At 45.8% G+C, this 15,533-nt stretch overlaps 1 protein-coding gene and 1 long non-coding RNA gene across 10 annotated transcripts in view, besides 5 other annotated features; one reads left to right on the forward strand and one right to left on the reverse strand.

Annotated features, from left to right (window-relative positions):
* ADPGK (ADP dependent glucokinase) overlaps window positions 1-1,092 on the reverse strand; it is a 32,465-nt gene extending 31,373 nt beyond the window's left edge. For 6 of the 9 annotated variants that reach the window (NM_001365224.1, NM_001365228.1, NM_001365227.1 and 3 more), the window contains exon 1: window positions 793-1,092. Coding sequence is in view for 5 of the 9 variants with exons in the window: in NM_001365228.1 (NP_001352157.1) it covers window positions 793-1,025 (233 nt within the window). In the remaining 4 variants the exon portion in view is untranslated. Of the gene's footprint in view, window positions 1-579 lie in introns of all 9 variants that reach the window. The other 3 variants (NM_001365229.1, NM_001365223.1, NM_001365226.1) reach the window with 1 other exon arrangement.
* Window positions 169-15,533, forward strand: ADPGK-AS1 (ADPGK antisense RNA 1). Its single transcript, NR_040107.1, has 3 exons — window positions 169-2,530; window positions 4,756-4,927; window positions 15,338-15,533. It is a non-coding gene; the product is annotated as an ADPGK antisense RNA 1 (long non-coding RNA).
* Window positions 468-537: an enhancer, noted in NCBI's record as "active region_9728". NCBI's record gives its function as "activates an Ori minimal core promoter by ATAC-STARR-seq in GM12878 lymphoblastoid cells {active_cell/tissue: GM12878}" and the evidence as "EXISTENCE:reporter gene assay evidence [ECO:0000049][PMID:35858748]".
* Window positions 788-1,247: a silencer, noted in NCBI's record as "silent region_6626". NCBI's record gives its function as "represses an Ori minimal core promoter by ATAC-STARR-seq in GM12878 lymphoblastoid cells {active_cell/tissue: GM12878}" and the evidence as "EXISTENCE:reporter gene assay evidence [ECO:0000049][PMID:35858748]".
* Window positions 1,298-1,357: an enhancer, noted in NCBI's record as "active region_9729". NCBI's record gives its function as "activates an Ori minimal core promoter by ATAC-STARR-seq in GM12878 lymphoblastoid cells {active_cell/tissue: GM12878}" and the evidence as "EXISTENCE:reporter gene assay evidence [ECO:0000049][PMID:35858748]".
* Window positions 1,408-1,617: an enhancer, noted in NCBI's record as "active region_9730". NCBI's record gives its function as "activates an Ori minimal core promoter by ATAC-STARR-seq in GM12878 lymphoblastoid cells {active_cell/tissue: GM12878}" and the evidence as "EXISTENCE:reporter gene assay evidence [ECO:0000049][PMID:35858748]".
* Window positions 14,183-14,412: a silencer, noted in NCBI's record as "silent region_6627". NCBI's record gives its function as "represses an Ori minimal core promoter by ATAC-STARR-seq in GM12878 lymphoblastoid cells {active_cell/tissue: GM12878}" and the evidence as "EXISTENCE:reporter gene assay evidence [ECO:0000049][PMID:35858748]".

Raw genomic sequence — 15,533 nt, forward strand, 5'->3', positions numbered from 1 at the left:
CCAACACTCCACAGAAAGTAGTGAGCTACATGGTAGAGGGCCTGCTTTTATGTGGTGGTTATACATAACTCTGAGATTACGGCAAGAAAGTCAAATCGAACTGAGACAGGGACTAAAGTTAGTGTTTACAGTATCAATACTATAAAGAAAATAATTACATTCCCAAGGAAAAGTACAAAGAAAGGAGGTAGTGTCATTTGGAAGAACCTTAAATATGCAGTGTCACTGAAGTCAGGGGAAGAAAAGAATTTCACGGAGAAGGGCGTGTTCAATGCGTGGAAGGCTGCAGAGTAGATAATGAAGATTCAAAAAGGCAAATCTGAGAGGAGTTGCAGTACAGTCGTGTGGTTTCTAGACTACACGGCGTTTCGAAAGTGGGTAAAGGCAGACATCACGCGTCTTCAAGAAGTTCAGAAGAAAGAGGAAGAGTGTTGTCATAGTGGGTAAGGTCAAGTATCTTTGATTGCAAAACAACAGTCGCCAGAAGAGAAGGGGCTAAAAGTTGGAACGAGGAAGAAGGCTCGGAGAAAGGTGTCAGACAAAGCGGGATTAGCAAGAAGCTGTTAGGGCTGGTCCTACCGGGATGAGAGAAAGGCGCAGAGGCCAGCCGAGTGGAAAGAGCAGCGGTGACGAACCGGGTTCCACTCAGACGTCCGACACTTCTCGCCAAGGGGCCAGCGCGGACAGCAGCGCCTCCCGGGGACCTCTGAGAAGCCCTGTTTCTGCGCGGCTCCGCCCGACCTCCAAGGCCGACCTCGGAGGCTCAGAGACCCAGGCCCCGTTGGCACTCACCCCACTGCCACGCGGCGCCAGCGCCGGACTGGCCGCACGATAAGCGCGTCCCAGGCTGCCGCCAACCGGCCCTCGGGGGAGACGGGTCCCGGGGGCGCAGGCGCGGGCCCCAGACACAGCGAGCTCCAGAGAGAGCGCAGCGCCGAGCCTGGCAGCTCTGGCTCCAGCAGGAAGACGCAGCCCACGGCCAGCGCCAGGAAGCCCGCGTACGCGGAGCCGCGCCACAGCGCCATGGGGACCCAGGCGCCGCACCTGCGCGAACCAACTCCTTTCCTAGCCCGCGCCTCTTCCGGGCTCGGCGCGCGCCGATGTCGACACAAGCGCTACGTCACAAGGGTGCGCCACGGGGCCCCCCAAGGGGCGGGGCGACGGGCGGCGCCAGGACGGAGCGAGGGGGGACCCCACGCCTCAGTCCCAGGCCTGGCACTGCGGTGTTGCCGCCCCGGAGGAGGTGGGACAACGGCGGTTGTGCCAGTCCGGGCGCTGCACCCCCTTCCCGGAACTCTAATCGTATCCCCAAATAGAGGGATGGGAACACATTTGCTTTCGCAGTAAAACGAAACGGACAGATTGTGAAGAAGCGGACAAACCTCGCGTTAATATTCGAACCAGTGGGTGTCCCCATTGGCACGGATCACACCCCCATCTTTTAATCCCTCCCTCCGCCCGTGTCCCCTCATTTGCTAGACTTGTCCTCTTCCAGGCCTAGTGCTCGGCGCTTCTGAGAGGAATAGGCTCACAGAATAGCGGCGCTGCCGAGACCCCTGGGGTACGCGAGGCAGGGGGATTCCGCCCCTTTGGAAGGTGGCCGAGACCCTCAGCCACTAAAGGACTTCGTCGAGACAGGAGAGCCCGCAGAGATCGTTCTCTTCTGGATAACCAGATTATTCCACAATCAAACTTTAACCCTTTTGGGGGCGCTGTTCCCTTTAACAAACTCTGGAAAATGTACACAATCTTGTGCACAACACGAGAGTTATGGACCTGGGTTGAGAAACGCTGCTTTCTTTTGTTCCCCCTTGGTGACATCACTTAAACCCAGCCCTCTCTTCGCTGATACTTTTCTGTGCATGAGGCTAGGTTGAGAGACAGTGAAGCTAGGCTGGGTACCAGCTCATTCTCATCAGCCACAATGCCCGGCCTAGTCTTGTTCCCTGGTTTGTTTCCACTTTTCCAATTCTCTCGGCTCCTGACCTTGGCTTTGTGTCCAGTTTTCCACTGTGACCCTGACCTTTGGACTTGGCAGCGAAACTTTATTTCCCTAACTTTGATCTTGGGCATTAGTCTTCATTCTCCTCAGCCCCACCTCATCAGAACTTCCCCATCCTGGTCATCTACCTTCCCGCAGTTCATCCTACCCAGCCTACCTGACCATGCCATCCCTTTCGACAAAGATATTCACACAGGAACAGATTTGGGCTACCTTGGAAAAGAAGCCAAAGAGCCAGTCAGATCTTTATGAAGCCATGAAAGCCATCTTCCCTAGAGTTGCCTGTCACTTCTCTCTCCTTAGGGAGACATGTCAGTCAGTTCCTAGAGAAACTGCTTCTTCTCACAACCCTCAGCTGTCAGGTTTCCCTGGCACCCAGAGGGGACTGAGCCAGCAGCTGACCTGAAAACAGCGAGTCTGCTGACTGTCCAGCGATCATTTCCCTCTATTGAGAATTTTAACCAAGTTTCTGTTGTCTGTAGTTATTTGATATTGGCTGTGGACCCACAAAGTCACACAAGGCTAAAGGTCAGAACCAGTTAAATATGTTTCCAAGGTGAAGTTTTGGGGAGCACAGGAAGCTGAACTGTGGGAAGGTGATAGAACAGACAGATCTAGAGGACTAGGAGAGTGCTCCACATTAAAGTGATGTGGACAGAAACCTGCCTGGGGCTTTCTTGCTCCCACGAGAGGCTGCTAAACTTCCAGCACTTTGCACCTAATTCTTCTGCTTCTTTCTAGATTTGCCAGAATTGTTGATTTAGTCACAGAGACAAAACAACAGCAGTTGAACAAAGTGGATGTTTATTTCTCATGTAAAAGTCTAAATGGGGTGTTGGCATGTTGTGGGCTGTGGTAGCAAGCTTGGCCCCCTCTGGTTGCTATGGGACCTGCTGTGGGCCTCTTGCTGGTTAGTCACTCAGTGTGGGTTTGCATTGTGGGTGGTGAAGGGGGCCAGACAAGGAAACGAGAGAGCTGACCTCAATTCCAACTGAGAACTGAAGAGTCAGGAGCCGCAGGAGGTGAAGAACAGAACACCAGGGACAGTTGCCAGGCCTGGCGGAGCCTGATGTGGCTTCTGGTCACATACAGAGTCACAGGGCCCTTAATTCCTTCTCATCGGGGCTCAGGGGCAGGCATTCACTGTCTTGGTGCCACAGTCCCTCTTGAAATATTTCCTTAACGAAAATCAGAAAAGATTCTGATCATCTATCTGTTCAGAGAGTCTGGAATCCTTTGCAAGCCAATTGTTTTTCTAGAAGTTAGGTTTCTGGGGACAATTAAAACAGCTCTGAGTGGGCAGCTGTGGCTCCTTTGCCTAGGCTGAACAAAGAGGAAAGGGCTGGGCTGGGCAGGCCTCAAGACACCCCCCGCCCCCACCCAAATTGCTTCCAGACATGGCCTTTCCTATTGGTTCTCTCTCCTAGGACCTTGAAATGAGAGAAGAAAAGCAATTTGGTTCTAGAAAATTCAGAGGCAAATGGAGGCTCCAGGTGCCCCACCCAAGATCCTGACCTGGAAGGCCAGGGAGCAGATCCTGTATGAACACAAAGAATTAGCAGAATCCTGTCAGCTTCCAAATTAGCTGAAGGTTTTGGCTTTAACATAAATACCCATCAGCGTCACCCCCGCAATCTGAAAGGCCTTAAGGGGCACATTTGTTCCCACGTGGAGCAGAAACTAAAGTGGGACCAAATGGTCCCTGTGAAAGCTGGGCTAACCCACTTTCCTTGCAGCTCCAGGCCTCTGGGGTTTCATCCAAGCTGCTCTTTGAAGGCCACACTGTGTCAAAGCCTTTGTTGATGCCAGGGACACAGCCCACCACAGGCCATGCCCAAAGGCCAGAGTCAGAGCACAATTTTGAAGATTACAGAAAACTCCAAAGAGATTGAAGAGATGGAATAAAGGATCCCAGCCCCCGAAAAGAGAAAGCTTTGTGTCTGTAGCCATAGCCCTTGGCAATCAGACATCCTCCTCACTAATGTGAGGTCAGGAGGGGACTAGAAGTGCTCAGAGGATGGACTGCCTCTGGCCAGTGCAGGGGAGAGGCAGGGGTGTTGAGGCACAGGAGCCAGATGAGAGGAACGTCAGCAGCAAAGCAGTAAGAAGAACATGAGAGTTTCTTGATAGTAATAGAACTTCCTACACAGACTGGGAACCGGGTTGTAGCTTGAGGGGATGTGACAACATAGTGGCCCGGAATTTTCACTTTGGAAATTAACTGCTTTGGACCAGGAAGAAGCGCTGAGCCTAGAAAGGCAGGAGGCACAGGACTGTGTGGGCTTCTGTCTGGCAGGGACCTATGAGCTTCATAGGGCGAATGAATCGGGGCAGGATAAAGCAGAGGCCTCCACCCTCACAGTGCTCTTAGCCATCTCAGGCTTCCCGGAACACTGCTACCAGGCTGCCTGCTGGAGCCCTTTACACTCACAGGCCTTCCTGCTTGGGTTCTCTTCTGCAGGCTGCGTAAACCAGTCCTGTTGTAGCCCTTGTAGCATCTGCTGTAGTGATCTGGTTTGGGTTTCAGTATTACTTGCAATGGTTTGGAAGGAAATGGGAAGTTTGCCTTCTAACTACATTTTCTTTTTGATTCAAGAACCCTAGCAGTTCTACAACCACTGGGCCTAAAACTAAAATAAAGGAAAAATAAATAAAAGGAAGCAAAAACATCTAACTGGGATGGCCTGGCAGCATTGCCAGAGAGAGTCCTCAGGGGCCCATGCTTGTTCTGTCTTTTGCTCTGCCATCCCTAGGGTGGACAGCACGGAAGAGGCAGTACATCTTAACAAAATCAGGGTTCTGGATGAAGGGAGGGGTGGTGAATGGTTGCTGCAATCAACAGTTCATACTTCAATGGAAAGAAGGTGGGATTTGATTCCTGGCTGCAAATCTTCACTCTGTCACCTGCTATCTGTGTGCCCTCAGGTAAGTCATTTAACTTTTCTGTTCTTCAGTTTCCTTATATGCAAAATAATTCCTACTTTGCAGAATGGTTGTGGGAGGTAGAGTTATCTTAAGACAGTCTAGCACAGTGTCTGCTACATGCTGGAATTCAAAACATTCCCTGCTGTTGCTATGGTTGGTTCTGAGAGCTATATTTAATTTTCTTTTTAGTCTTTCTTGCTGGTCTGTCACTCTCTTACTATAAGGAAGACAGCCATTTCTGCATAGGTCACTATGCAGTAGCCTTTTCTATTTTTTGACGGCTTAGCATCTATGTAATATCCCACTGAATGAAAATACTAAAATTTATCTATTGTACTATGAATAGACGATTTGGAGTTTTCCCAGTTTTTTTACTATTACATACAGTGTTGCTATGTATATGCTGTGGTACACGTGTATAGCCATTTCTTCAGGGTAGAAACAAAGTAACATTTCTGGGTCATATGATATGCCTGTCTTCAACTTTACTATATAATATCTGACATCTTTCCAAAGTGGTATGCCAGTTTATCTTCCCACTGGCAGCATATGAGAATTTCTGTTGCTCCAGCTACACTCCAACAGATTCTTAAAGCTTTGTCATTTTGTAGGGTGTGTAGTGGTATCTTACTGTGGTTTTGACAAGTTTCCATTTGTTGGTTATTTGCAAGTATCTTGCCTCCCTCCCAGTCACTTGTCTATTCATTCTTTTTATAATATCTTTAGTGAGTAGAGTTCTATGAAAAATTATTCTTATTTATGTATTTTTGTAGAGATAGGGTCTCTCTGTGTTGCCCAGGATGGTTTTGAATTCCTGACCTCGAGAGATCCTCCTGCCTTGGCCTCCCAAGGTGCTAGGAATACAGTTGTGAGCTACCATGCGCAGGCTTAAAGTTCTTCGTTTTTAGTGTAGTTACCGTTTTGTTCTTTTTTTATTACTACTTTCCCCTTATCATTGGTGCTTTTTGTTACTTATTTAAAAAATCTTCCCATACTCAGGATCGTGATGGTATTTTCCTGTACAACCTTCTAAGAGCTGTAGGCTTTCACATTTCATGTTTAGGTATTTAATCTACCTTGGAATTGATTTTTGTGTGTTGTGAGAAGAATGCTTATAGATACCCAATTGACCCAGTGCCTTTTACTGGTCATTTCTCAATGACTCTGCATTCCCACCTCTGTCCAATACCACGTGTCTATGTATGTGTGGATCTGTTTTGGGGCTCTTCAATCTGTTCCATTGGTCTATTTGTTTATCAGCGTCTCACTGTCTTGATATCTGTTAATATAAATTCTTTCTCCTTACTCTTCAAGAGTGTCTTGGCTATCTTTGGCCTTTTAAAATTCCCATATACATTTTTGAATCAACTTGTCGCCCTCCCTCCCAAAAAAACCCAATTAGGATTTTTATCATTCTAGGACTATGGTAGATCCCTTCATTTATTTAGATCTACCTAAATGTCTCCCAATATCATATTAGACTTTTTGTGGAGGATTTGTATGTCTTTAGTAAGTTTTATTACTAGGCACTTAATATTTTTAGTATGCTTATTGAAGTAAAATTGATATGCATTAAGTGCATAATATTTAAAGTATACAAATTAATAAGTTTAATATATGTATACACCCTGAAACTGTTACAGGAAAGGGGTCCAGATCCAGACGCCAAGAGAGGGTTCTTGGATCTCATGCAAGAAAGGATTCAGGGCTAGTCTGTAGTGCAAAGCGAAAGCAAGTTTATTAAGAAAGCAAAGTGGTGAAAGGACTGCTACTCCATAGACAGAGCGGGACGTTCCCGAAACTAAGAGGAGGAACGCATCCACCCTAGGTACAATGCTTGTATATATGGAGAGATGTGCTCTGCTACAAGGGTTTGTGATAAACTATTAATTTTCTTAATTATCGTATTTGGCAAGAATCAATATTATTATCTTTCAAGCAAAATTAGGAATGCCTTTGTTCCCCAGATATTGGGATATCTGGACACTCCCGAGTCTGGGTCTGTTTTAGTAAACATTATTAATTTGTTCCCTTAACCGTAAACATCTAGAGGCTAAGAATGCCTAACTTTCTGGGAATTCAGTCCAGCAAGTCTCAGCCTCATTCTCCTAGCCCTCACTCAAAGTGGAGTCGCTCTGGTTCGAATGCCTCTGACAAAACCATCACCACAATCAAGGTAATATAGTAAACATATCCATCACCCCCAAATACTTCCTCATGGCCCTTTGTAACCCTTCCCTCTTACTCCTTCCTGCCTGTACATCCTCCCACTCCCTGTACCTAGGCAATCTGCTTTCTGTCCCTACAGTTCAGTTTACACTTTGCAGAATTTTATATAAATGGGATCATACAGTACATACTCTTTTTGATGTGGCTTTTTTCATACAGCATAATTATTTTTGAGATTTATCTAGGTTATAGTGAATATCAACTGTTAATTGCTCTTTAAAAAACTTTTAACTTCAAAACAGTTATATATTCACAGGAAGTTGCCAAAATGGTAGGGTCTGTGTACCCTTCACCCAGTTTCTTTCAATGGATATATCTTACATAATCATAGTGCAGCATCAAAACCAGTAAACGGACATTGGTGCAAGGTGTATGTATAGTTTTGTGCCGTCTTATTATATATGGAGATTCGGGTAATCACCACTCAATCAAGTTGCAAGAACTGTCCCATCACCACGAAGATCTCCCTCATGCTATCCCTTTAGTCACACCCAACCCCCATCCTCTACCATTCCTAGACCCTGGCAGCCACTAATCTGCTTTGCATCACTGTAATTTTGTCATTCTGAGAAATGTTATAAATGGAATCATACAGTATGTGATCTTTTGAGAGCATAATACCCTTGAGATGCATCCAACACTGTTGCATGTGTCAATAGTTCATTTTTGTTATTTATTTTTATTTTTTGACTGAGTAATGTTCTGTGGTATGGAAAGATCACAGTTAGCTTAGTCATTCACTCATTGAAGGAGAACTCCCCAACAATTGCTCTGGACATGCTGGAATTTTTTTTTTCTGTTCTTTGTTCATTCTTGCTCATGGTGTGTTACAAATATCATAATTCTCCTTTTTCTCTGTGACCTTGTCTCTCAGTCTCCCATCAAGGAGTGATGTCTATTTCTCCACTTCTTGAATCTGGGCTGGCCTTGCCAATAGAATATGGCAGAAGTGACATCGTTCCATTTCTGAGTCAAAGCCTGAGTTGTTGCCAGTTTTGGGCAATTGGTTGTTGCCAGTTTTGGGCAATTGCAAATAAAGCTGCAATAAACAATCATGTACAGAGTATTGGGTGCACATATTTCATATCTCTGAGAGAAACGCCCAGGAATACAATTGCTGGGTTTTATGTTTAGTTTTCTTTTACATCCCCACAGGCAGCATATGAGAGATCCAGTTTCTTCACATCCTCACCAGCACTTGATATTGTCACTAATTTAGGTTTTGTTCTAATGGGTGTATAGTGACATCTGTTTGTGGTCTTAGTTTACATTGCCCTAATGGCTAGTAGTGTTGAGCATCTCTTCATGTATTTATTTGCCATCCATATATCTTCCTCAGTGAAGTGTCTCTTCAGGTTTTTTTTTTTCTTTTTTGAGACAGAGGCTCGCCCTGTTGCCCAGGCTGGAGTGCAGTGGTGTGATCTCGGCTCACTGCAACCTCTGCCTCCTGGGTTCAAGCGATTCTCCAGCCTCAGCCTTCCAAGTAGCTGGGACTATCTGTGCGCACCACCACACCCGGCTAATTTTTGTATTTTTTAGTAGAGACGGGGTTTCATCATGTTGGCCAGTCTGGTCTTGAACTCCTGACCTCAAGTGATCCGCCTGCCTCCGCCTCCCAAAGTGCTGGGATTATAGGCATGAGCTACCGTGGCTGGCTGTCTCTTCAAGCCTTTTGCCCATTTTATAATTGAATTGTTTGTTTTTTGTTATTGAATTTTGAGACTATATATCATATATTATAGATAAAAGTCCTTTGCCAGATACATGGTATGCAATATTTTCTTCCAGTCTTTTCATCCTCTTAATAGAGCCTTTCACAGAATAAAAGTTTTTCTTCTTGATGAAGTGTAATGTGTTGATTATTTTTTCTTCTATAGATTGTGCTAGTTTATTGCTTTTTGTTGCTGAATAGTATTCCATTGTATGGATATACCATTATTTGTTTATCTATTCATTTGTTGATGGACATTGGGTTCTTTCTAGTTTTTGACTATTACAAATAAAGTTGCTATGAGCATTTGTTTACAGGTCTTTTTGTAGGCTTTAATTGCTCTTGGGAAATATCTAGGAATGGAATACCTGAATCATGTAACAGATGTATGTTCCACTTTTTAACAAACTATCAAATTGTTTTCCAAAGTGGTTGTACCGTTTTATATACCTACCAGCATTCTATTAGAGTTCTAGTTCTTCTGTTTGCTTGCCAAGACTTGGTACGGTAAGTCTTTTAAATTTAGCCATTCTAATAAATATGTAGGTATATCTTTGTCTTAATTTTTATTTTCCTAATGACTAATGATGTTGAGCATCTTTTCATATCTTCATTGGTCAAGTATCTGTTCATATCTTTTGCCCATTTTTATTAGATTGTTTTTTTCTTATTACTGAATTAAAAAAATACTCTGGATGCGAGTCCTTTATAAGACCTGTGATTTGCAAATATTTTCTTGTCTGTCTTTTCATTCCCTTACCTGTTATATTGGATTAGTGGCCACCCTACTGACCTCATTTAAACTTAGTTACCTTTTTAAAGACTGTACAGTCACATTTTGAGGTACTAGGGATTAGGACTTCAATATATGAATTTTGAAGGGAATACAGTTCAGCCCATAACACTCCCCAACAATTGCTCTGGACATGCTGGAATTTTTTTTTTCTGTTCTTTGTTCATTCTTGCTCATGGTGTGTTACAAGTATCATAATTCTCCTTTTCTCTGTGACCTTGTCTCTCAGTCTCCCATCAAGGAGTGATGTCTGTTTCTCCACTTCTTGAATCTGGGCTGGCCTTGCCAATAGCATATGGCAGAAGTGACATCGTTCCATTTCTGAGTCAAAGCCTGAGGAGGCCTTGCATGCTTCTACTCTCTCTTGCAACCCTGCACTGCCACATATCAACAAGACTTATCAACAAGCCTGGGATAGCCTGCTAGATGATGAAAGAAATATGGCCCGCTTGCTCCCATCACTCCAGCTGATAGCCAGGCAACCCTAAGAAGCAAAGTCACCTAGCTGATTAGTAGCTGACCACTGACACAAAAGTAAGATCATCTGAGACCAGAAGACAGCCCATCTGAGCTCAGCCCAAATTACTGACCCACAAAGTAATAATAAATAAATGGTTATTATTTTTATGTCACTGAATTTTGAAGTGGTTTATTATTGAACAAAAGCTACCTGATACCCATCTTTTTTTTTTTTTTTTTTGATATGGAGTCTCCCACTGTTGCCCAGGCTGGAGTGCAATGGCGTGATCTCGGCTGACTCCACCCTCCGCCTCCTGGGTTCACGCAATTCTTCTGTCTCAGCCTCCTGAGTAGCTGGGATTACAGGCGCCCACCACCACACTGGCTAATTTTTTGTATTTTCAGTAGAGACGGGGTTTCACTATGTTGGCCAGACTGGTCTTGAACTTCTGACCTCATGATCCGCCCACCTCAACCTCCTAAAGTGTTGGGATTACAGGCATGAGCCACCGCACCAGGCCTACCCTTCCTAAGAGTCTTTGCTCTGGCTCTTACTTTCATCTGGAATACTCTGTGACTTGATCTTTGCATGCCTGGCTGCTTTATGTCATTCATATCTCTGCTCAAATACAATTTCCTCAAAAAGGGCTACACTGACCAATCAATATAATAAGCCTGTAGGTCTCTACGGCTTCTCCCTATTTATTTGTTTATTTTTAGAGATGAGGTCTCACTCTGTTACCCAGGCTGGAGTGCAGTGGCATCATCATAGCTCACTGCAGCCTCAAACTCCAAACACTTGGGCTCAAGCAATCCTCCCTCCTCAGCCTTCTGAATAGCTGGGACTACAGGTGCATGCCACCTTGACTGGCTAATGTTTTTTTTTTAATTTTTTTTTAGAGAAGGGGGTCTCACTATGTTGCCCACACTAGTCTTGAACCCCTGGCCTCAAGCAATCTCCTACCTCAGCCTCCTGGGTAGCTGGGATTACAGGTGTGAGCCACAATGCCCAGCCATTTTTTTTTTTCTTACACAGAAAAGCTCCAATATTCACTTAGATACTGCAGAAGGAAAAGAGAGGCTGAAAGGGTTGGATCAAGGAAGTAGGAAAGGGAATTTCTGGGGCATTTCCTTCCCCCAATCCCAGAATAGCCACAGAAATCACAGTCACCAAGAGCTGCTGCTTCTGAATAACATGACAGTGATGGTAAATTTTCCAAAATGTTGATTGTAACAGAGTTTGCCACATGACCAAACTGGTGGATCATAGAGTGGACAGACATCAGGAGCTCTGGAAAAAAAATTGCTACTCAGTACCTACTCAAGTTGTAATGGGGAGAGAAATGGACTGATATGCCGGATTTTTGTTGCAGAGAGCTGGCAAACTTGCAGTAAGTAACTAGCTGCATTCAAACTGACTGACGCACATAGATGGAGCCCTGAAATCCATAGCTCCGTTGAAGAGGCAGCAGAATTTATCTACTCCGACCCAGGTTTGCGGAATTTATCAACTCCAACCCAGGTGCTAGGCTGCTTGTGGTAGGGAGTGAAGCCATCATGCTGATGGATTTGGTGGTGACAAAGCAGGCTGTCAGGAAGAAGTAGGTCCCCCAGATTCTCCCGGGCAAGGGGACAACACTGGAAACTACATGTGGTAGTTTCCAGTATGTTAGGCTTTTCCTTCTGAAACTTGGCAAAGTAGAATTTGCTGAAAAGTAAGCAGTACAGCTTGTTTTTAATTTCGTTTCTCAAGAAAACCCAGCTAAGTCTCATCATGACTGTTTACTCTTGTTTCTTTTGGGAAATTAACTTCTTAATATAACTTTGACTAAAGATATGTAGATTTGTGGTATGAAAAGAAAATCTATCTGTTGGATGATGTTCCCAGTGAAGTACTATCCATTTGTTATTTTAAAAGTTATTCTCTTTTGTTCTAAACAGTAAATAGTGCCAAAACTAAGAAAAACATGTATTATAGTTTCAACGTCAGGCTGACTTGCCTGCAGATCTGTTCGCAATAGACTGTAATGCCCCTTTAAAGAAAGATTTAGAAATAAATTATTAAAAGTATTAATTCATTTAAAAAAATGTAAGCATGAATGGGGACAAGCTGGGGAGAATGATTTGTCTGCTCTTTCTGGGAGGGTGGCGAGCAACATCCATGAGAAACCTGCAGGCCTTGCCACTGCTGCTGAGAGCCAGTGACCCCAAGGGCTGACCACTTGGGATGTTAGCTGCTTCTAGTCCAGGCACTGTGGTCTGGGCCTGTGGTATAAAGAAGGGCTATTGCCATAAAAGGAGATAGACACAACCAGCTTCAGTTCATCCTGCTTCCTGTCTCAGAATTTTTTTTTTTTTTTTTTGAGATGGAGTTTTGCTCTTGTTGCCCAGGCTGGAGTGCAATGAATAGCGTGATCTTGGCTCACTGCAACCTCTGCCTCCCAGGTTCAAGCGATTCTCCTGCCTCAGCCTCCCAAGTAGCTGGGATTACAGGCACCTGCCACCACGCCCAGCTAATTTTTGTATTTTTAGTAGAGACGGGGTTTCACCACATTGGCCAGGCTGGTCTCAAACTCCTGACCTCGTGATCTGCCCACCTTGGCCTCCCAACAGAATTTTTTTAAAAAAGAAATATGGTATGTCTTTGGAAACCCGAGATTCAAATCTTAGCACCCTATATCCCCACCACCACTACCATTAACAGTGCAGTTTGGAGCAAGTTGCTTAATCTTTTCCAGCCCAGTTTCCCATTTGTAAAATGGAAAGAATGACATCCATATAATGTAGTTGCTGGAGGATTCATTATTTTATTATTCAACAATTGTTTATTGAGTGCCAGACATTAGTCTAGTCACTAAGACAGACAAGGTCCATGTTCTCATGGAATTCATATTCTAACAGGGTAAGGTCACAACAAATAAATAATAAACAAATGAAAAATATCAGATATTGATAAGTTTTAGACAGAAAATAAAATAGGGAGCTGGGCATGGTGGCTCCTTTCTAATCCCAAAATGAGAGAATTGCTTAAGCTCAGGAGTTCGAGACCAAACTGGGCAACAGGGCAAAACCTCGTTTCTACAAAAATACAAAAATTAGCTGTCCCAGCTACTTAGAAGGCTGAGGTGGGAGGATCATTTGAGCGCGGGAGGTCAAGGCTGCAGTGAGCTTGATCACACCACTGCACTTGATCAGCGTGGGTGACAGAGTGAGACCTTGTCAAACAAAACAAAACAACAAAACAAACACAAAACAATACAGATTCACTGTATAATATTATTTAGAAAATGCAGAAAGGTACAAATACTTATTTTATAATAACTCTTAATCTTAATATTCAAGTTTTTGGTGTATATCTTTGCAGAGTTTTAAAAAAATGTGTGCACACACATGCGTCTTCACAGAAATGGAACTTTGTTATTGTATATGCTGCATTGTAACCTGCTTATTTGCTTAACAATAGAATGGCGTCTTTAATATATCCAAACTTTTTACCCAGAATGATTTTTCATGGCTGCGTAGAATACCATTTATTTAACCAAGCGGTAGAGAGTTAGACTATTCACAAGTTTTGCTATTATGAACAACTAGGGAGAAGCACTTACACAGCAAAATCTGCTGAGTTTCTGAATTGTCTCCTTAGTATAGACCACGCAAGTGAAACTATCAGATCCCAGGGCGCTCCCGTGCGGTTGTCAGATTTCCCTCCTGTAAAGTGGATGAGTAACCCCACCCCACATGCACTCCCGTCCACACAGCTCTTGAAAGGCCAAACCAGGCGACGCTGTGGCCCAGAGAGAACCAGAAGAGAGGGTGCGTGGGGTGCACGGCAAGCCATTGAGTCTGTGGCCACACCTAGGCGGAGAGAGACGAGCTCGGGTGAGGGTGGGCCGCGGGATCCACAGACTCCTCTTCGTGCGGTGGATGCATCAGGCTCCGTCTCTGAACCTCGGTTTCCCCATCTGCAGAATGGGGATGGGATCTCCTGGTGATGGGGATCTGTGGACGCGGCGCCCTCGGGGGTGCACAGAACTAAGGCCGGCCTGCAGCAGCGACCTCGGGGGCTGGTGGGGACGGAAGACCGGACCTCCTGGCCCGAAGGCTGGGCGCAGCCCCCGCCCGCCCGCCTCTTCCCGCCGGCGCCTCCCCGGGGTGGCAGTGTGGGGAGAGTGGCTTGGCGCCCGCAGGGGGCGCCGCGAGCCCACCGCGAGAGCGGCCGCGGCGCGGGGTGGGTGCCGAACGGGCTGCGCGCCGCGCTGCTCCCGACCCGCGGGTCAAGTCTGGCGCCTGGGAGGTCCTTGAATTCCGCGGGATTTGTTTTTCCGCAAAACCAAAAACGCCATCCACTTAACAGATCCGTGCTAGGAGGCCCTGGCTCAGTCCTTCCACCAAACACCTCGGCCCAGCCGCGGCTGTACGGCTCCCAGGCTCCCAGTGTTTCCTCCACGCTTTCAAACCTCAGCGCTGAGGTGACCGCCTCCGGGCAGCCTTCCCGGACTACCCCAGGACTTGGGGGCGTGGCTCCACAGCGGGCCTAGTTCCGCCCGTGTGCTGGCCTCTTCCACGACCGGCAGTCTTTGAGGATGGGGCTTGGCCTCCATCCCCTTGAACCCCTCAGCGTCGCACCCCAGAGCCACTCTGACCCCTGGCCAATGATTATAAGTGAGGGAGCCACCTCTTCTCCCTGCGTGGCACAGGCCAGGGTCCGCAGGAAGGGGCCTTGCTCATCCCCAATCTTAAGCTCCGCTGAGATGAAGGAACCAAGAGCAGGCTTGGCACTGGGAGGGCGGCTGTCCCAGTGGCGGGGAGGGGAGCTCTGGATCTGTGGGGGAGTTTGTGCAGCGTGTCAGCGGGGGGTGGGGTGGGGGGGGTGGGGGCCTGTGGATGCCCGCAGGTGTTTGTGTTTGTGCATGTGTAAGTCTCTGTGTGTATATATTTGTGGGAAAGCATCTTCTAAATTAAGAATATATTTGTGTAGGGTAAATGGTCAAGTCAAATAGAAAGTGACTTCAATACTTGTTACTTGATGGTATAAATACAATAGCCAAGGAATTCAGTCCAGAAGCTCACATTTGAGGGTTAGGGATTGGTGCTGTATTTGTTACAACAGGCGTCTAACCTTGGTCAAATCTCTTCCTCATAGTCTTCATTGTCTCTGGTTTGTTTGTTTGTTTTTCTGGTTTGTTAAATGATCCTTTTTTTTTTTTCCCCGAGACAGGGTCTCACTTTGTCTCCCAGGCTGGAGTGCAGTGGCGCAATCACCACTCACTGCAGCCTCACCTACCGGGCTCAAGTGATCATCCCACCTCAGCCTCTCCAGTAGCTGCGACCACAGGCACGTGCCACTAAATGATTATTTTTTCAAGGGAGAAATCATGCCTGTCATACAAATAAAAAATGAACAAGTGTAAAAG

The sequence above is a fragment of the Homo sapiens genome, chromosome 15, assembly GCF_000001405.40.
Source record: "Homo sapiens chromosome 15, GRCh38.p14 Primary Assembly".
In the NCBI taxonomy this organism is placed as follows: domain Eukaryota; kingdom Metazoa; phylum Chordata; class Mammalia; order Primates; family Hominidae; genus Homo; species Homo sapiens.